This window comes from Homo sapiens, chromosome 1 (genome assembly GCF_000001405.40).
Source record: "Homo sapiens chromosome 1, GRCh38.p14 Primary Assembly".
Taxonomy (NCBI): Eukaryota; Metazoa; Chordata; class Mammalia; order Primates; family Hominidae; genus Homo; species Homo sapiens.
Genome location: NC_000001.11, coordinates 179027384 through 179048373, shown reverse-complemented (window position 1 = coordinate 179048373; position 20990 = coordinate 179027384). Strand labels below are relative to the sequence as shown.

The 20990-nt window shown below is 44.3% G+C and overlaps 1 protein-coding gene and 1 pseudogene across 7 annotated transcripts in view, besides 4 other annotated features; one reads left to right on the top strand and one right to left on the bottom strand.

Annotated features, from left to right (window-relative positions):
* Positions 1 to 20990, bottom strand: part of FAM20B (FAM20B glycosaminoglycan xylosylkinase) — a 59234-nt gene that overhangs the window by 28194 nt on the left and 10050 nt on the right. For 4 of the 7 annotated variants that reach the window (XM_047436093.1, XM_047436094.1, XM_017003001.3 and 1 more), the window contains exons 2-3: positions 4150 to 4659; positions 3533 to 3601 (exon numbers count right to left, since the gene is read on the bottom strand). In XM_047436093.1, coding sequence (XP_047292049.1) covers positions 3533 to 3601; positions 4150 to 4526 — 446 coding nt within the window. In that variant the 5' untranslated portion in view covers positions 4527 to 4659. The remainder of the gene's footprint in view (positions 1 to 3532; positions 3602 to 4149; positions 4660 to 20990) is intronic. The other 3 variants (NM_001324310.2, NM_014864.4, NM_001324311.2) reach the window with 1 other exon arrangement.
* Positions 1126 to 1420: a silencer, noted in NCBI's record as "tiled region #11809; HepG2 Repressive non-DNase unmatched - State 6:EnhF, and K562 Repressive DNase matched - State 1:Tss". NCBI's record gives its function as "represses a minimal TATA promoter and a strong SV40 promoter by Sharpr-MPRA in HepG2 and K562 cells {active_cell/tissue: HepG2 | K562}" and the evidence as "EXISTENCE:reporter gene assay evidence [ECO:0000049][PMID:27701403]".
* On the top strand, positions 12696 to 13136 carry RPS26P16 (ribosomal protein S26 pseudogene 16; annotated as a pseudogene).
* Positions 18706 to 19000: a silencer, noted in NCBI's record as "tiled region #12139; K562 Repressive DNase matched - State 5:Enh". NCBI's record gives its function as "represses a minimal TATA promoter and a strong SV40 promoter by Sharpr-MPRA in K562 cells {active_cell/tissue: K562}" and the evidence as "EXISTENCE:reporter gene assay evidence [ECO:0000049][PMID:27701403]".
* Positions 18706 to 19644: a biological region, named in NCBI's record as "Sharpr-MPRA regulatory region 12139".
* Positions 18769 to 19644: an enhancer, noted in NCBI's record as "H3K27ac-H3K4me1 hESC enhancer chr1:178997865-178998740 (GRCh37/hg19 assembly coordinates)". NCBI's record gives its function as "activates a minimal SCP1, AML or CMV promoter by ChIP-STARR-seq in naive H9 embryonic stem cells {active_cell/tissue: H9 hESC(naive)}" and the evidence as "EXISTENCE:reporter gene assay evidence [ECO:0000049][PMID:30033119]".

Here is a 20990-nt window from a genome sequence, read left to right as displayed (position 1 = left end):
GAATCAAAAGAACTACACTGAAGTCAGGCCTGAATCCTCAGCTCATGTTTTGGTTATGTGAAATATGGAAAATCAGAATTCTGGATCTCATTTTTCTCACCTGTAAAATGGACAGTTGGACTAGCTGATCTCCAAGGTCCCTTTTAGTACTTCCTGAGATTACTCATTCACTTCTACGCGCTTCTAGGCCCCTGCCTTCTTGTTCTTTTTCCAACATAACTGCTGTTTTTGCCTGTGAAAATCAATTACTTCTAGAATGGAAATAGCTACATTAAAAAAAAAATCACCTTTACTTATAATGTAAGGCAAAATGTGTAAATAAAAGTGTCACTCTATTCCCATATATATCATCTACCTATACTGCACACACCTTGTATCTCTGAGAGCAGGACATGGATAATCAGGCTCCAGAAATGTTAAAACCACAAGTGGCTTTCAGAGAAAGGACTTAGATTCTTCTCTTACCAGAGAGTGATCCATCTTAAGTCACTGACAGAGCAGCAAAATTCATACAGTAACTGCCAATAAATCATTCCTATCCTTCTGCTGAAGGACATCAGAGTATGACCAAGGACATTAATTTGCACTTACACCAGGACTAAATAAATAGCCTCTGAAGCCCTGGGGGTCAGAACAGCATTTTGCTGGGTGTTTAGGGACTGGAGTCAATTTCTGCAAGCACTTAAACTTACAACCACTTTCCCCAGCCTGTGATATTTCCTGATATAAAGCAGCACAGGTCAGTATGTGCAGTGACTAAGAGAGTTAGCACCTATGGCAGGGGCCAAAAAAAACCTTGCTGAGTTGGAGAAGAGAGTGCCCTGTTGCTGGGAGTGGACACAGGCTGTTTAGGAGATGATGCGGGAGCAGGGGGCCAGAGTTTGACAGAAACAAAGAGCAAAAGGAAGATAAGGCTGAGTATAGAGAGGAGGACCAGACAGTCAGGGGCTTGACCTTAGGCTGTGGAGGCTGGGTTTTGTCTGGTGGGCAATGGGAAGTCCCTGGATGTTTTAAAGCTGGGGAACATAGTGATAATAAGTCTTCTGGGGAAGAACGGGGAAGAACGGAAGTGGTTTCCAGGATGGTCTGGAGGAGGGAGGTAATGAGAAGGCTGCAGTGGTAGTAAGAGATATAAGATGAAGCAAGAAGTGACTAAGGTTATGCATTATCTGTTACTACCTCCCCTACTCATCAGTCTGGCCTCTCCTCCCACCACTTATATCTTGTCTGAACATTTCAGGCCTATCCTGCAAAGCACCTGGTCTAACACTGCACGCTCTTGGGAATATCTGTCTTCTAACACACTTCCTGCTGTCCCAACTCCCCTTCAATTCTCCAGTGTACAAGTGGTAGGTGTGATGAGGATCTCTTTTTTTTTGAGACGGAGTTTCGCTCCTGTTGCCCAGGCTGGAGTGCAATGGCGTGATCTCGGCTCACTACAACCTCCGCCTCCGGGTTCAAGCGATTCTCCTGCCTCAGCCTTCCGAGTAGCTGGGATTACAGGCACGTGCCTAGCTAATTTTTTGTATTTTTAGTAGAAACGGGGTTTCAGCATGTTAGCCAGGCTGGTCTCGAACTCCTGACCTCAGGTGATCCGCCCGCCTCGGCCTCCCAAAGTGCTAGGATTACAGGCATGAGCCACCGCACCCAGCCAGATCTCCTCTTATTTAAACACAAAATGCTCACAACTCATCTCTTTATTTATTTTATTTTACGTTTTTGAGATGGAGTTTTGCTCTTGTTGCCCAGGCTGCAGTGCAATGGTGCAATCTCAGCTCACCGCAACCTTCGCCTCCCAGGTTCAAGTGATTCTCCTGCCTCAGACTCCTGAGTAGCTAGGATTACAGGCACATACCAAAACGCCCGGCTAATTTTTTGTATTTTTAGTAGAGATGGGGTTTCGCCATGTTGGCCAGGCTGGTCTCAAACTCCTGACGTCAAGTGATCCGCCCACCTTGGCCTCCCAAAGTGCTGGGATTACAGGCGTGAGCCACCGTGCCCGGCCATCTCTTTATATACAAATTTTATTTTTGTCTTTAGTTTGCCTTTTTCCATTACTCTGTTTATGCTGCTTATCTCTCAGGCCAAGAAGTCAAAGACCAAACTTCAAAGCTAAATGCGATTTTTGATGATGAGTGCTCCACGTCATCACTTATGGGAAGCAAACAAACTTAGAGAATTCCATGTGTGTGGCAGAATACAAGCTGTTTACAACTCTAACAAATATGGGTTCAAACTTCTGTACCACTGATTGATGTGAGGTGACCTTGTCAAGTTAGTTACACTCTCTGAACCTCAGTTTCTTATTCAGGAAATAAGAACTGAAATTGTCCAAAAAGGTTAAACCTTCGTATAAGGGTTTAAAGGATTAAGAGATACAAAAGTACTTAGTGTAATCCCTGGCAAATAGTGTGCATTACAGAAATTAGATCCCAGGCCCACATAACCACGGTTTTTTTTTGTTTTTTGGTTTTTTTTTTTGAGACAGGTCTCACTCTGTCACCCAGGCTGGAGGGCAGTGGCACGAGCATGGCTTGCTGCGGCCTCAAACTCTCGCACTCAAGCAATCTTCCCATCCTCCCACCTCAGCCTTCCAAGTAGCTGAGACTATAGGTGCACACCACCACGCCCAGCTAATTTTTTATTTTTTTATAGAGACAGAGTCTCACTACATCACCCAGGCTCAAGTGATCCACCCACCTCGGCCTCCCCAAGTGCTGGGATTACAGGCATGAGCCATCACGCCCAGCCCCAGTCAAATTTTTATTCTCTGAAAGTCTACCAAATGTTTTAACTTTCCTAATTTCCACATCACTGACATATATTTCCCAGTTCCAGACCAACAGTGATCCCTTCCATTTCTGGGCTCCCTATACATTCATGCTCTGACTGCCTTTCATTTACTAATAGTTGGGTAAGAAAGGGAGTTGAATTTTGTCCATCTTTTCCCTACATTTCTTCTCCCACTCCAGAAAGAAATCTAAAGTCATGTTATAATTTTTTCAAAAGCTCTACTGAGGAATGAAAAAAATGTTTAGTACCCAAAAGATTTCAGACATTACAAACTTTGAGAATATTCATTGGTAACTAACTCCCGGCAAAAGAATACAAATCACCATCATGATGTTAACCTAATTCAGATTCATACACTCAGAAAACATTTTTAGAAAATTAACTATACCCTCCAAGCTGTCTTGTGTAGAGAAATAAATAAATAAATAAAAATAATTAACTGTATCACAGAATTGTCACACAAATTATCTCTGTAGATCCCTAGGAAGTCCAAAGGGATCATGAACAACATACATATTTAGTTAACTAAGGTAACTAAAATGGCCCAATTCTTTACTTAAAACAGGTGAAAGAAATAAGAGATCTATTAGAACAGCTATGATCTGAAACACTGATGCCAAACCCTGGTGAGGATGTGGAGCAACAGGAATTCTCATGCATTGCTGGTAGAAACACAAAATGGTACAGCTACTTTGGAAGATAGTTTAGCAGTTTTTTACAAAATGAAACGTACTCTTACCATGTGGTCCAGCAATTATGCTTCTGGTATCTATCCAAATGAGTTGAAAATTTATGTCCACACAAAAACCTGCACATGGATGTTTATAGCAGCTTTATTCACAATTGCCCCAAACTTGGAAGCAACCAAGATGTCCTTCAGTAAGTGAATGGATAATTAAGCTGTGGTACATCTAGACAATGGAATATTATTCAGTGATAAAAACAAATGAACTATCATGCCACAAAAAGATATGTATAAACCTTAAATGCACTTTACTAAGTGAAAGAAGCCAATCTGAAAGGGCTTACATTCTGTGATTGCAACTATATTACATTCAGGAAAAGGCAAAACTACGGAGATAGTAAAAAGACCAGTGGGTTACCAGGTGTTCTGGGGCAGAGAGGGAAAAATGAGTAGGTAGAACACAGAGGATTTTTAGGGCAGGAAGACTATTCTATATGATACTATAAAGGTAGATTCATGTTAAGTGCTAGAAAAGACTTTAGAGATCTAGTCTACCCCTCTTATTTTACTGAAGAGACTTCCAAGAGAAGATGACAAAATAAATCTTATATAAATCCCAAGTTAAATGAATCAACCAACTAGCACATGCAGCTTCCAAGATCAAAACTTACCGCTTAGGTTTGAAAACAACTTTCTGGCCTCCTTCAAGTATCAGTAAGGCTTTCAGCTGTGTCCCTTTATAACCCACATCAGCTTTAATGATTTTCTTGGTGGCCATGGCATGCATGACTGCCCCCAGCTCTGGTGTCTCTTCAGGGTACACTTCCCGGGGAACCACCCACTGGGCTGCAATCTCCCAGGGAGACTGCAAGGTATGGTCCAGCTTGGGTGCCAGCTCCACCCGCAAGCCAGTCATCATTCGGTGAAAGGCCCTCTGGTCCTCCCGGTTGGCAGCTGATGTATCTAAGTTGTCAATCAGGAAAACTTTGGTGAAGATAAAAATGACAAGGAGAATTGCTAACAGCACGACTCGCTGCTTTAGCTTCATGTTGACCTCTTTTCCTTCTCCCCTGACCCACTCTTGCTCATGTATTAAGGAGAGCTGGTGGTGATGGTTAGCAAGGAGATTCCATGATTATACACATTGGTCCATTTCTTCACTGATGCACCTTCCACAGTTCCTGCAAGCCCAAGTACAAAGCAAAATTTGATCAAAAATTCTGTCCTTCCACCCCTGAATCTTTTGTAAGCCTCTAATATATGACTCACCCTTTTAGGCTTTCTATTCTTGAGCTCAAGAAGGTTCAATAATTTAAAATTAACTAATCTGGAGAAGGACCTAATGATGGCAGCAGTGGCCCAACTGGAGCAGCTGCTGCGAAGACACCAGCTGCAGTGGGAGAGGCATGGCCAGGGCTGCACACTCCACGGAGCTGGAAGGAGCTGGGAACAGGTGGGAGCCCTGCCCTCTTCCAAGATGGTGGAGCAGGGGCCCCGTGTTCCTGGGTACAGCTGCAGCCACCCAGCCACAGCTACACCCACAGGCTCCAAAATGCCACTCCTGCTGCCTGGCCTCTCCCCACTCCCCGCACCCACTCTGGGGTGGAGCAAAATTGTGGCAAAGCCCAGGTGATGTCGTGACCTGTATATATGTGGTTGGGGCAGTGCTGATACACCAGGCCCCTGCTGTCTCAGCCCACTCCGGACTTTGGGCACCAATGAGCATGGGAGGGAGGCCAAGGGAGGACTGAGGATGGCTCAGTGTAGGCCTGCAGGCATCCCTTGGTACAAACAGCTTGGGCACTGTGGATGACATGAATGGTGGCAGGAGGCAGGCTCCTGGGCGGAAAGGGATGGGTCCCCAGTGAAGCCCCACCTTCAAGCCAGGGATGGCCTGAAGCATGGGGGCTGGGCTGTCGGTTCTGGTTAAGAGTCCGCAAACCACAGTGAGAACTTATGGTGCTTTTTCTGGGCCCACCCATGGCCACCCATGGGCCAATCAGCACACACTTCCTCTCTTCTGAGCTCATAAAAACCCTGCACTCAGCCAGACTCAAACAGATATCCGGACAACCTGCGTGCACAAGGGATCTACCCACTGTGGGTCTCCTCTCCACTGAAAGCTAGACTCTCATCAGAACAACATGGCTGCAGAAAGAGCTATCCACTTTGGGTCTCCAGAGAGCTGTTCTATTGCTCAGTGAAGCTCCTCTCCACTTTGCTCACCCCCAGTTGTCAGCGTGGGGCATGGGACAAGAACTCAGAACCCACCAAATGGCAGGACTGAAAGAGCTGTAATGCAAACAGGGCTGAAACACACCCCCTGCTCACCATGTGGTAGGCAATCAGAAAGAGAGAAGAGCTGGGGCCCTTTGTGGAGCTCAGACCTAGGGTCTCCCCGAGCCAGGGCTGTGACATCCTCTTTGGGGTTCTGAGGTTCCTGGTGTCTCCAAGTTTCTGGATGCCACCATGTTCCCCTTGTCCAGACATGGGCACCCGCAGCAGAAGCTGCATGTGATACTCTGGTCCAGCTGCAGACTCACACAGAACCGGCAGCTGTGCTTATGCTTGGAGCTGCCTACCCCACCACAGCAGCCCCAGCGTGCGTGGCTGTGTACAGTGGCCAGACCCCATGCTAGCTTGTCCACACACCCCTTGCTGCTCTGCACCTGGCTTGCCCTTGGCAGGTATAAGATCCAGGCCAGTAGTACGAGCTGAGCACGGCCTGCAAGGCTGAGTGGGTAGAACGAGCCCAGTGGGCACAAGCACTACTCAGGCAGAAGGCACCACGGCCACAGAGGTTTCTCACTGGCAAAGTGACACCCCAAGGATCCTGTGACACTAATAAGCAAGAACCACATACACTGAAAATTTTAAAGCAAATATTTCTATTTTAATTGGAATGCAAGCCATCTAGGAGCCATGAGGTTGGCTACACATGCCTAATAACCAAAACAATGAGGAAAAACACAACAAAAACAAAAGAGCAAGCTATACATAATTGTTTAACTTTCATTTTTTTAACTTTCAAAATCCATAAAGGACTTTTGCATATCCCAAACCACCAGTATTTGGTTCTCATTCTGGTAAGACAACAATTCCTAAAAATGCCAGAGGGTCCTTTCCCTCTCCCCTCTCCCCTTTCCCTGCCCGTCTCCCTCTCCCGGCCCGTCTCCCGTCTCCTGTCTCCCTCCCCGTCTCCCGTCTCCCTCTCCCTCTCCCTCCCTGTCTCCCATCTCCCGTCTCCCGTCTCCCCACGGTCTCCCTCTCCCTCTCTTTCCACGGTCTCCCTCTGATGCCGAGCCGAAGCTGGACTGTACTGCTGCCATCTCGGCTCACTGCAACCTCCCTGCCTGATTCTCCTGCCTCAGCCTGCCACACCTGACTGGTTTTCGTATTTTTTTGGTGGAGACGGGGTTTTGCCGTGTTGGCCGGGCTGGTCTCCAGCTCCTAACCGCGAGTGATCCGCCAGCCTCGGCCTCCAGACGTGCCGGGATTGCAGACGGAGTCTCGTTCACTCAGTGCTCAATGGTGCCCAGGCTGGAGTGCAGTGGCGTGATCTCGGCTCGCTACAACCTCCACCTCCCAGCCGCCTGCCTTGGCCTCCCAAAAGGCCGAGATTGCAGCCTCTGCTCGGCCGCCACCCCGTCTGGGAAGTGAGGAGCGTCTCTGCCTGGTTGCCCATCGTCTGGGATGTGAGGAGCCCCTCTGCCTGGCTGCCCAGTCTGGAAAGTGAGGAGCGTCTCTGCCCGGCCGCCATCCCATCTAGGAAGTGAGGAGCGCCTCTTCCCGGCCGCCATCCCATCAAGGAAGTGAGGAGGCGCCTCTTCCCGGCCGCCATCCCATCTAGGAAGTGAGGAGCGTCTCTGCCCGGCTGCCCATCGTCTGAGATGTGGGGAGCGCCTCTGCCCGCCGGCCCCGTCTGGGATGTGAGGAGCGCCTCTGCCCGGCCGTGACCCCGTCTGGGAGGTGAGGAGCGTCTCTGCCCGGCCGCCCCGTCTGAGAAGTGAGGAGAGCCTCTGCCTGGCAACCGCCCTGTCTGAGAAGTGAGGAGCCCCTCCGCCCAGCAGCCACCCTGTCTGGGAAGTGAGGAGCGTCTCCGCCCAGCAGCCAACCCGTCCGGGAGGGAGGTGGGGGTCAGCCCCCGCCAGGCCAGCCGCCCCGTCCGGGAGGGAGGTGGGGGGTCAGCCCCCGCCAGGCCAGCCGCCCCGTCCGGGAGGGAGGTGGGGGGATCAGCGCCCGGCCAGCCGCCCCGTCCGGGAGGTGAGGGGCGCCTCTGCCCGGCCGCCCCTACTGGGAAGTGAGGAGCCCCTCTGCCCGGCCAGCTGCCCCGTCCTGGAGGGAGGTAGGGGGGTCAGCCCCCCGCCCGGCCAGCCGCCCCGTCCGGGAGGGAGGTGGGGGGGTCAGCCCCCCGCCCGGCTAGCCGCCTCGTCCGGGAGGTGAGGGGCGCCTCTGCCCGGCCGCCCCTACTGGGAAGTGAGGAGCCCCTCTGCCCGGCCAGCCGCCCAGTCCGGGAGGGAAGTGGGGGGGTTGGCCCCCCGCCCGGCCGGCCACCCCGTCCAGGAGGTGAGGGGCGCCTCTGCCCGGCTGCCCCTGCTGGGAAGAGAGGAGCCCCTCTGCCCGGCCACCACCCCGTCTGGGAGGTGTGCCCAACGGCTCACTGGGAACGGGCCATGATGACAGTGGCGGTTTTGTGGAGTAGAAAGGGGGGAAGGGTGGGGAAAGGATTGAGGAGTCGGATGGTTGCCGTGTCTGTGTAGAAGGAGGTGGACATGGGAGACTTTTCATTTTGTTCTGTGCTAAGAAAAGTTCTTCTGCCTTGGGATCCTGTTGATCTGTGACCTTGCCCCCATCCCTGTGCTCTCTGAAACATGTGCTGTGTCCACTCAGGGTTAAATGGATTAAGGGCGGTGCAAGATGTGCTTTGTTAAACAGATGTTTGAAGGCAGCATGCTCGTTAAGAGTCATCACCACTCCCTAATCTCAAGTACCCAGGGACACAAACACTGCGGAAGGCCGCAGGGTCCTCTGCCTAGGAAAACCAGAGACCTTTGTTCACTTGTTTATCTGCTGACCTTCCCTCCACTATTGTCCTATGACCCTGCCAAATCCCCCTCTGCAAGAAACACCCAAGAATGATCAATAAAAAAAAATAATAAATAAATAAATAAAATGCCACAGGGTGCAGAGGAGAGTAATAGCTGTCTCTGAGTCCAAGTATTCAGCGATCCTGGACGTGTCATATCTGCTGCTCATGTATTTAAATACAACCCCAGACACATATTTCTACTTAGTCCTTCGCCAATTATTTTTCAAAATTAAAATACCTGCAAACCATGGATAATCAAAACTGGGTACATTAAGTAAAGGGAAAAAAATATGCCCATACCATCTAGCTATTAGCAGAATATAACCAGAAAACTAATAAAGCCTGGTACTATGGCAGCACTACTACGTCTGGAATGGTCAAGCATATAACAAGGATATTCATGTCACAGACATAAAGAACTGCTCCTTCTAGCATGGGGCTGACCACACTCTGGGCAATTCTTAAGTTAAAAGGCTCCAAATACAAGATTTTTGCAAGGGTGTCAAGAACATACAATTCCGTCTCACTTGCATCCTGAGAGGTTGCTTTCTACTCCATAAGGCCATTTAAAAACATGCACAGGCTTGCTCTGCTCTATGCCTGCAGACAGCACAGCACTGAGGTAAGACAAAGATGACAAGAAGATAACAGGATGTTGCTTCACTCTCCAATTCATTTAACAACTCAAACCATTAATCCAAAAAATAAAACCAATACAAAAAAATAGAGCAAATGATTCAGGCTAAGACACTCCCACTTAAACGTGATACTGCTCCCTTAATAACAACTGGAAACAATCAAAAGCAGCTTATCAGAGCAATGTATTCTGAGGGCAACACTTTGCAGTGGGCCAGCTGAATGAAGTTTATTCTCAGTGATTAACCACTCCTTTTCTGTTCATGAAGGAAGCAGAAAGTGAGAGTTAATTTCAAATTCTAATTATTCCCTGCCACCTGTTTTGTTTCATCATCATCTCCCAGGGTACACAACACTATTAGCTGAAACAAAGGCAATTCAAGTGCATCTAAAATGTAATTGTGATGGTATCAAGTTTGGTGTGGAACTCAGTAAAACAGTTCCCTGTGATTACTGATAACAGCAGTGCTAGCAGAGAAGATTTCAGAGATTTTTGCTAGTTCTAATGCAACCTAAACCACACAACATTTTCAAGTGCTTGTTCAACAGTACACTTCTCAGGCTGCAGAGATAAAAGGCAATATGGAAATCTAGTTGTATTGACAATCACTTCTTCAGCATCTCCAGATGCCACTAGCTACAAATGCAATACAATTCTGGCACAAAGGGGTCAGCTTCATAGGCTTTTACTTTCTACAGAACATCCTTCAGGACTAAAGTCTGGTTAACCCATAAACTTTTTTCTTTTTTTTTTTTTTTGAGATGCAGTTTCGCTTGTGTTGCCCAGGCTGGAATGCCATGGAGCAATCTCGGCTCACCACAACCTCTGCTTCCTGGGTTCAAGCGATTCTCCTGCCTCAGCCTCCCAAGTAGCTGGGATTACAGGCATGCGCCACCACGCCCAGCTAAGGCTTTTGCATTTTTAGTAGAGACAGGGTTTCTCCATGTTGGTCAGGCTGGTCTTGAACTCCTGACCTCAGGTGATCTGCCAGACTCAGCCTCCCAAAGTGCTGGGATTACAGGCATGAGCCACTGTCCCGACCAACCCATAAACTTTTAATCGTATTGCTCATTCATTTAGAATGAAGAAAATCCTCCCCCTCGTGCTATATAAATATATCACATCCAAACATTTTGCACAAAGGTTAGAGCTGTGGTTTTTTGTTTTGTTTTTATCATCAATGCAATAAGAAGTTCTAACAGTTCCAAAATTCAGATAAGAAAAACGGTCCAATCCCACAATCCAAGTTTGTGTCCTTTTAAGTTTTGAAACTTATTTCAAAACTTCTCCTTTTGAAGCGGCCTCAGACGAACACATTCATCAATTCAGGGCCATAAACAATTCACTCACTCAGCTAGGTTAGAAATTTACATTAAGGGAACTGGCTGGGGACAGTGCCTCACGCCTGTAATCCCAACACTTTGGGAGGCCGAGGCAGGCAGATCACCTGAGGTCAGGAGTTCAAGACCAGCCTGGACAACACGGCGAAACCCCATCTCTATGAAAAATACAAAAATTAGCTGGGCGTGGTGGTGGGCACCTGTAATCCCAGCTACTCAGGAGGCTGAGGCAGGAGACAATAGCTTGAACCTGGGAGGGAGAGGTTGCAGTGAGCTGAGATCGTGCCATTGCACTCCAGCCTGAGCGACAGAGTGAGGCTCCGTCTCACAAAAAAAAAAAAAAAAAAAAAGACCGACATACAGAAAGCAAGCAAGCAAACAAGAAATAAATTCATATTAAGGGAACTGAAGGGTTCTATTATTTCACTATTTCCTTCTGCAGATTCTAAGTGAGGGCAGGTTAAAAAAAAAGAGACTAAACAAGTTTTCATGTTTGTGATTACAGTCACCACATCCTGGTGGAATGAGTAAGAGTGCAATTTGTCATTGTTCTTTACAGCCGTCTTTCATTTCCACAGCCACCAACTTCAGTGCTCATCACCTTCTTTTGGACCACAGAAAGAACTGATGCCTGAGCCTCCAGGTTCTCCAATCCAGCCTAGATAATGCAGCCAAAATCATTTTTCAAATCACTCAACCACCTTTGATTCTAGATTCCTTGGCAAGGCATTAAAGCTGTATCCTAAATAGCTTCCAAGTTAGACATCACTCCCATTGTTCCTCTTCTCAGCTTTAGCCACAATGGATCAACTGAACATGCTATGGTCCTCCTCTTGATGTGTAGGTGCTCTTTGCTTCTGTCATTCCTTACACTGTAGTCCCTCAAAATTCCTCTTTCTCTTAACATTTCTTCCAATCTCCTCCTGATAAAGTCTGAGCCTCCTTTCAAGGCTCATCTCCAAGGCCATCTCTAAGGCAATTTTTCGTCCCTCCTTACACTCTTAAAGTAACTTCTCCCTCCTTTCGGCCAGTACTTAACTACATTCGGCCTTGTATAATACCTTATTGCATATGGTTCTTAATTCTCCTTTCAGAATCTTGGCTCCTTAGAATGATCCCCTTCACTCCTTTATATGTGAGAGAGGAGAAAGTACCAGAGACAGGGTTTCCATGCCATATAATCTTCCTTTTTTATTTGGGACAAGGAGTATACTATATTGTGCAAACTGGACTTTTCCAAAGATTCCCCATTTCAGACACTAAGGAAATAAACGCAAATTCACTGGGTATATTCAAACTATTCACGAAAAACCTCACTAACATTCTCAGAAGAATGTGCCTGCTCTATTTCACACCCTCAGCTCCTCCGATACATGCTTCAAACAGTGCAACAATGTCCAGTTATATTACGGTCATTTATTTTAATGTTTCTGTTATGCAGAACAGAAACTACCTCAAAGAACAAACAAACTCAAGGTAATAACATAACTTTAAAAGTGTTAAATATAAAAAAGGCAGTACAAATGGCATATCTGTAAATAGTTTTCACATGAAAAGCTGGCATAAACTCCCAGCCTGGAGTTCTGGAAAGTAGACCTTTACAAGGAATTTTCCCACTGAACCCTGGTTTCAACCTGAGCTCCATCAGCTATATGGGGCTTGCTACGGAGGCTAATTTACTTACTTTCTTTTTTTATTTTGAGACAGAGTCTCGCTCTGTCACCCAGGCTGGAGTGCAGTGGTGCTATCTCGGCTCACTGCAACCTCCAACTCCTGGATTCAAGCGATTGTCCTGCCTCAGCCTCCCAAGTAGCAGGGATTACAGGTGTCTGCCATCACACCCGGCTAATTTTTGTATTTTTAGTAGAGACGGGGTTTCTCCACGTTGGGCAGGCTGGTCTCGAACTCCTGACCTCAAGTGATCTGCCCACCTCAGCCCCCCAATGTGCTGTGATTACAGGTGTGAGCCACCACGCCCAGCCGGCTAATTCACTTTCATTCTACACACACACACACACAAACACACTCATCCTACTCATTTGATAAATATTGTATAAGGGCAAACGTAAGACTATGAAGTTGTTTTGGGAGAAGAGATATAGATTCCACAGAAAAAAAGTGAGGTCTTAATGTAAAGTCTTCTTTCAAGAATCTCCTCTCCGGTCCATGCCTCCAAGATGACAAAGAAAAGAAGGAACAAAAGTCATGTCAAAAAGGGCCACAGTTACGTGCAGCCATTCGCTGCATGAACTGTGCCTGATGCGTGCCTAAGGACAAGGCCATTAAGAAATTCATCATTCGAAATATAGTGGAGGCCACAGCAGTCAGGGACATTTCTGAAGCAGCGTCTTCAATGCCTATGTGCTTCCCAAGCTGTTTGTGAAGCTACATTACTGTGTGAATTGTGCAATTCACAGCAAAGTAGTCAGGAATCAATCTCATGAAGCCCACGAGGACCGAACACCCCTACCCCGATTTAGACCTGTGGGTGCTGCCCCACGACCCCCACCAAAGCCCGTGTAAGGAGCTGAGTCCTTAAAGACTGAAGACAGACCATTCTCTGGAGAAAAATACAATGGAAATTGTACTTAAAAAAAAATCTGGCTGATGGTGGAGGAACATTTACAGAAAAGCATGTTGGTGTGGGGGTCTACAGATCATGTGATAAATCTCAATGTATGTGGCTGCCAAGGAACATGAGAACACCTGGCCTTAACGCTTACTACCTTACTAGAGGGTCCTACAAGCCACCAATGAGATTCCAAGCCTTATTAGAAGTGTCCCCTTGAATCACCCTCTGATTAAGTGACAAGCTCACAATACTACCTCTGAGGTCATAGAGAAGAAATAAATACCAACCTCTGCTCATAGCAACTAAAAGTGAAAGTTATGGTAAAAGTAAACATAAGTTTCACTTCTTGTGTTTCTAATTTAATGGTCAAATCAGGTTCTTATGACTTAAGTAGAATGTAACATGCCTTGTAAATGCAAAGCACCACAAAGGAAATGCTTAGTAAGAATGCTTCATGCAGAGGACTAACAACAAAAGAGATCTGAGGCAAAGGGGTAGGATTTCTTAACTGGTATAGAATTATATTTATGCACACAATCTCTTTGCCCTTGATCCTGAGTAGGAACTACAAGGATCCTTTAACAAAATACTTTGGTAATTATTGGTTTGACTAAAACTCTGAAGGTTTGGTGAGTATAGGAGGTAAGACTTGAATTTGAATTTTTTGTAGACTGTCTGCAAAGACAGACACTAACAATTTATCCTATCAAGAGGTGGAGTCAGGGCCAAACATGCTGGTTTACACCTGTAATCCTAACACTTTGGGAGGCTGAGGCAGAAGGACTGCCTGAGCCCAGGAATTCGAGACCAGCCTGGGTAACACAGTGAGACCCTGTCTCCATTATTAAAAAAAAAGAGAGAGAGAGAGAGAGAAAGAGGTGGAGTCTGTTTTTCCTCCCCTTGAATCTGGGCTGGCTTTGTAACTTGTTTTGACAATAGAATGTTGTGGAAATGACTGTGTGCCAGTTCTGGGCCCTGGTCTTAAGAGACCTGGCAGCTTCCACTTTCACGGGATCTAGCTACCATGTAAAGAAGCTCAAGCTAAGACTACCAAATGCCAAGTGATCTATATGGAGAGAGGTCCAGCCAACCCTTGGCTATCCTGGTCACCCCAGGTGAAGTGCCAGACATGAAGATGACACTTTCAAGGACATTCCAGTCCCAGTTGTGGTCTGGCAGAATGTAGTCACTGTTGTGACCCCAGCCTATACCATTTGAGCAGGAACACGTGAGACCAGATGACCTATATAATTATAAGAAATAACAGGCTGGGCGCAGTGGCTCACACCTGTAATCCCAGCACTTTGGGAGGTGAGATGGGCGGATCACCCAAGGTAGGGAGTTTGAGACCAGCCTGGCCAACATGGTGAAACCCCATCTCTACTAAAATACAAAAAATTAGCTGGGCATGGTGGCACATGCCTGTAGTCCCAGCTACTTGAGAGGCTGAGGCAGGAGAATCGCTTGAACCCAGGAGGCGGAGGTTGCAGTGAGCCGACATCACGCCACTACACTCCAGCCTGGTGACAGAGCAAGACTGTCTCAAAAGAAAAAAAGAAAAAGAAAAAGAAAGAAAGAAATAACAAATCATTGTCTTAACCCACTATTATTTTGAGGTAGTTTGTAAAACCCAACATTCTCACATCTGTTCTGCTCCTATCAACTCCTTTTGGGGATAGTAAAAATACCAGGGGAGAAGACATAGGGAAATAAATTACGTGACTAAAAACAATTATCTCAGGGAGGGAGTAATCACTAAATTAACCATTAAGTGCAAATAAAAATTGGTTTGATAAATTGTTAGGTCATATTTGTAAATTATTATTAATGGCTTCTAGGAGCAATACACTCATTATAAAAGTTACATGTCATTTATATTTTTCTGTTTTCATTGTATATATTTAGAAAGATACATAATTAACAAAGTCTCTTAAAGGTACCACAAGAAGAAATAGATTCTCAACTGGATCATTTACTAAAATCCACTTGCATACTTCAGAGCCCTACTTAGACTTATGCAGAGCAATCAAGGCTAACCTCACACATTCACACACTGACACATGTCCGGTTTATAAAGCCTAACTTTTGTACTTCAGCCAAAACATAAATAGCAAAAATCACATCTTTTAGTGCAAAAAAAGTTAGACACACACACGCTTTTACCGTGGGCTGTCTGGTATACTGCCCTTTTGATTTTTCACTAGCAGTGACAGTAGGGCACTGTGCATATTATTATTAACTGTTATGAGTTTACACCCCGTTCCCTAGAAATAAATGTCTCTACTGATGGTTAGTGGCAGTGATAAGTAAAATTAAGAGCATTCAGAAGTCTTTTAGTATTGTGTGACAGTCAAGATGTCCAGAAAGTCAAAACCTCCAATATTAAACAGCATTACATGTTTATTATCTCAGTAAATGCTGAGTACCCTGGGAAAACCAGCCCACTCCTGCTTTGCTGCCTGCCACAACAGCATGCTATTCTTCCTTTCATCTTCACATGAGGGTCTTCAACTAAAAATAAAAACTAATACTAAGTAATAGCATTAATCAGTATCTATAGATATTTTTTCTTCTTTTCTGTGCTAATTATCCACTTAAGAAATAGCTTCTTAATTCACCTTCTTATTTTAAATATAAGCTTTCTGTAGCAGAGGGGTTAAAAGCATGTCCTCTGGATTCAGAATGCCTAGGCCTGGATGCTTCCTTTACCACCTAATGTGGGTCTTGGGAAAGATATTTAACTTCTGACCTCTCTGGGTCTCAGTTTCTGCATATAAAAAAATGAAACAAGAATACTATTACCTAACTCACAGGGTTGTTAAAAATGAATGAGCCAGCTACTCGGGAGGCTGAGGCTGCAGTGAATCAAGATCATGCCACTGCATTCCAGCCTGGGTGACAGAGCAAGATCCTGTCTCAAAAAAAAAAAAAAAAAAAAAAAAAAGAATGAGACCTCTACATGTGTTGTGCTAAGATTAGTGCCTGGATGACCCACAGTAATCACTTGCTAGTCATTATCACCATATCAAAAACCCAGATGACCTCCAGAGAGGAGAAAAATGACAAAGAAAACCCTCATTGGAATCAATATACCATAATGTTGTCTTCTCAGTTACATAGTGAGGGGCCAAATCCACACATTGCATTACTAAGAGTTTAGTAGTAATTAGTAGTCTTGTATTTCTGAGCCAAATTCTTGCCTAAATTTGAGAGGTAGATAAGACTAGGCAAATAGATATCTTCAGAGTGAGTGTCATGCAAAGCAGAAGACTGGGAGGCTGTCACTAATTTGGCCAACCTGTTTCCCTTCTCTACAAAGTTCAATTCTACCACACTCAATGTAACTGAAACAGATGGGAAGCATGAACTTATCCCACTTCACAAAAAAAGGCTAAAATAGAATGCCTTTCACAACTGTTTTCAGTTTGGAAAATTAGTTCTGTGTTTTAAAGATGACAGCTTTTCATGTGCTAAAGCCCTTAAGATAAGCCTTAAGAGTAACTTAAGAGTACAGGTGTAGAAAATCTAATTCTTACATAATCCAAATTGGTCCAAGTGTCAGGTTTTCCTTACTGTTTTCACTTCCATTTAAACATTTATTTACATCTGTAAACTCAGAATCACTTATATGAAATTCTCTAACAAGTTCCCTCTGAAGGAAGGCAACTAAAACCATTACCAGGCATTAATGAAGCATTAAGGTAGTCTTTCTTGCTGGATGTGAAAGTAAAAATGAAATAGGCAATAACTGAATAATTTCAATAAGTGAACTGAAAAAAAATCAATCTCTGCAACCTGTCCCATTTAAACCTTGATTTAGGGCAACCCTCTTCCTTGAAAAATGAAAAAGAAAAAAACTTTAGCTCATACTGCTAGCGAGTTCTGTTCTAAAAAACCAACACACGCAGTAATCTTGACACTACGTGGAAATGAGTAACAATTTGCATTTTCCTTTAAATAAGCCAGGTATAATGACACTTCCCAAGTTCCAGGTATTTCACAGCACAACTGTCAGTACAGAACCACCATTTAAGGCTAGATTATAGAAGGTAATTCCTGTATAGTGTTGAAATACGGCATTACAAATATTATAACATTTTCCTTCAGCTTTTCATATGCTTTCCATCTTTAGTGTTCAATTCACTACAGTTCTTGGAAAACCACATAAACTTTATACAACAATAGACCTCGCATTTTTAGCCTTATGTTCTATGGTACGTCAAGCTGACAGCCCACACAGGAGATCACTCTCAGAAGCAGGAGAACCTCAAACAGATCTGTGCTGAAATTATGGCTAGGTGGCTCCAGGCATGATCCCTCTGTTATACTATGAACTCACACACACACAAACACACACACACACATTTTTTTTTTTTTTTGGCACATCTGTCTCTTCTAATATATTGTGTTTTTTGAGGATGGGATAGATTTTACTCACGCTTTGTACTTCCAAGTAACTTAGCACTGTGCAGGGCCTGTAAGAGGCATCTGATAAGTGTTTGTGGAATAAAAGGAGAGAAGGGCAAAGGAGAAAGACCTTTAGGGTTATAAGAATTTCTTCTAAACTGGCAACTCTCTGGTTTAAAGACTGCCTCTTTCAGAGACAGGGGGAAATAAGTCCTACAATGAATTCAAGTATACAGTATATAAAAGATGCAGAAATAGCGAATATGTATACCAATTATATACACTCAATTTAAAGTTGCCACCTTCTGTATATCCTGCTTCCACCTTTCAAGGCCACTGCTATTGCCAACCTGGTTCCTAGTATCGGCTGGGATTAAGAGTAAAGACAATTTGGAAATGCTAAAAGGAAGAAAGGAGGTTGTCTAACACACTGCCCAAGGATGATACAAGACAGGGCTGAAATCAGATCTTCAAGTATTATTGGCAGTGCTTTCTGAAACAAGAACCCACACGAGTAAGTACTTCCATATTATTTTGTTTTTTTTTTTACAGAAAACTACAGGAACATAAATGCACCTATACAGAGCACACGTTCACTATCTACACCAACGATAAGAAACAAACAAACAAAAACGTCCCTGGGCAACAAAAATAAGTGGTTACAAAGTTCATACCCTAAAACTTGGAGAAGAGCAGGTAGAACATAACTAAGCCAATTTAGCTGTTTTACATTCAATGTCAGGAAGCTCCTACTCCACAGATAAGAAGCTGCAAATTTAAAAGAGGGCAGCAAGGATACTAACAGCAGCAAAAGAGCAGCTTTCCACCACTGAAAGAAGACAAAGACTGACTACTGAATCGACTCAAGTAGATTCAATAATTCAAAAAGCACAGTGGACAACAAACTACATTTTTCGATCATCTCATAGCCTCACTCAACTACTGCCAGTATGCTAGTAATAATAACCAAAGCATATATTGTAAAAATTTTTCCACAAAAGGTATAGCTAAAATAAAATTTTCACATATAATACCTTACTCCCCAACATTAGGTAAATGAGGCATTGCTATGTATATAAAGCAGAAAGTTAACATTTGAGAGCATGGAATGATAGACTTCACTGCCTCCCTCTGTACTTGGTTCTGTCCTCTTTACACATTCATAATTTCATATTCCTTGACCTGCCTTTATAACGTGCCCAAGTTAGCACCCTCTTCTCTAAAGGGGTTATCTTGCCAGAAAGTACAGACCTTAAACACACACCAAAGCTCAAGGTCTCTTCTGCATCAGCTTACATTTTTCTCTTATCTCACACTGGGATGACAGACGCACCCATCTGTCATGTAGATTCTTTACATCCCAAGCTAGGCATTTCTTCTTTTGTTTTTGGTAAGAAAGACCAAATCAGAAGTGAGATCTTTGCATTATTTTCTCTTCTAGGCAGCTCGAGCAGTCATGCTGACATTGTAAGTTAGTCAGAAGCTGGTTTCAATAGCAAAGTAAGCTTCTGTTCTGCAGCCCAGGCCTATGTTAAAGAATTCATTAGTACTTGGGGTTACAGAGACAGCTGAAGGAAAACAGGAAGATATATGTAGGTGTAGAAGAAGGAACTGCTGGAGAAGTACTCTTAAAAAGGGATAACTCCCCTCTTCCACCGTCAAAATAAGGGACAAGGGCAGTCAGGTCAATGCTATTGACATGGCCATTGCCAAGAGCTCTAAGTTCTTCTATTAATGCAAAAACACTGGCTATCAATCCAACTGCCCAATTAGCCTAGCCAGAACAGACTGTAGGAGCAAGGTTGTGAAGCTGCACTTGACTGGAACCTGCACAGGCTACTGCCAGGCTCCAGGTGGTTTAGAACACCATATAATCACAGAAGCAAATAACACACCTCTACAGAATATTTTGAACAGTAATCCGAAACACATTTTCTACGCTTTTTTTTTCTTTTGACAAAAAGAGGAACTAAATAATTTAGTATATACATTAGAATATTTCCCCTTCCCTCATACTGTTTTCCATTTATTCATTCAACTGACGAATATTTATTGTGCACCTTCTACATACAGGCACTGTCAGGTGCAGAGAGAAAAATACACAGATACACAGATTACTGTAACAATTACAACAAACTGTAGGGCCTCATTGTAACTGTGTTCCCCATCCCAATCCACAAAACCACCTGGCACTTAGTCCCAGAAGGACTAAGAGTCAGATTCAGAAGACAGTCTCCTTCTGTTGTTGTTGTTGTTTGTTTGTTTGTTTTTTGAGACGGAGTCTCACTGTCAGCAGTCTGGAGTGCAGTGGTGCAATCTCAGCTCACTGCAACCTCTGCCTCCTGGGTTCAAGCGATTCTCCTGCCTCAGCCTCCTGAGTAGCTGGGACTACAGGCGTGCACCACCATGCACAGCTAATTTTTGTATTTTTAGTAGAGACGGGGTTTCACCATGTTGGCCAGGATGGTCTCAATCTCTTGACCTCGTGATCCGCCTGCCTCGGCCTCCCAAAGTGCTGGGATTACAGGCATAAGCCACCGCGCCCGACCAACTGTCTTTTTATGTATTCTTACAGAATACAAAGAACGCCCTCCTGCTTCTGTTATGAGATTGTGGCAATCACCAAAAGACAACCTCTGTGGTTAGCTATTTTAAAAAGTTATCAATTCAACAGCTGAAGTATCTGGCTTTAGGGTTTTACACTAATGAAATGATTTTAGGGTTTTACACCAATGAAATGATAGACACACAAAGTGTGGGAAGCTGAAGTCTGCCCTAAAACTGAAGGAACAGAAAGTTTCATTTAGGAATTTAAAATTCAGAAGAGATAAGAAGCAGAAACTTTAAGGCTGTGTGAAAGGGCTGGAATCTACAAATGGAAATCAAGGGAATGAACTAAAAGTCAAGGAATTATCAATTTAACATAAAATACTTCCATGATATAAAAGATTATAAAAATAAAGATGATAGAAGCAGTGATGTGTTTTTTCTCTAATCTTAAGAACCAAAAAGAAAAGCAGTGTATGTGTTTTCTAGTTTCCATTCATTCACCAAAACATAGCTACTGTCCTACCAGTTCTAGAGAAACGAATAGAGCATACCAATGTCACATTTTCACCACACAGAAAAGAAACGCTGTGAACTCCAAGATGTCTTGATCATCTTTTACCTGTATCCATATTTATCACTGCACTTTATCATGAGTGAGGCTGAGAGTCTGAATTATACTTGTGTGTGCCTTTGTATTCTCCTTTGATAAGTAATTTCAAATGGGAAAGGGACTCCTGCTGACTGATTCCATTGTACGGTTCGAGAGGCCAAAGTCCAACATCTTTGCAAACTTTAGAAAAGTTATTAATAGAATACATTGATTTTAAATCTCCCTGAGATTGGCTATGAGTCTGGGCAAATAATTTAGCATCTTTACCATTTGTACCTCAGTTTCTCAGACAGTCGTGATAACGAAT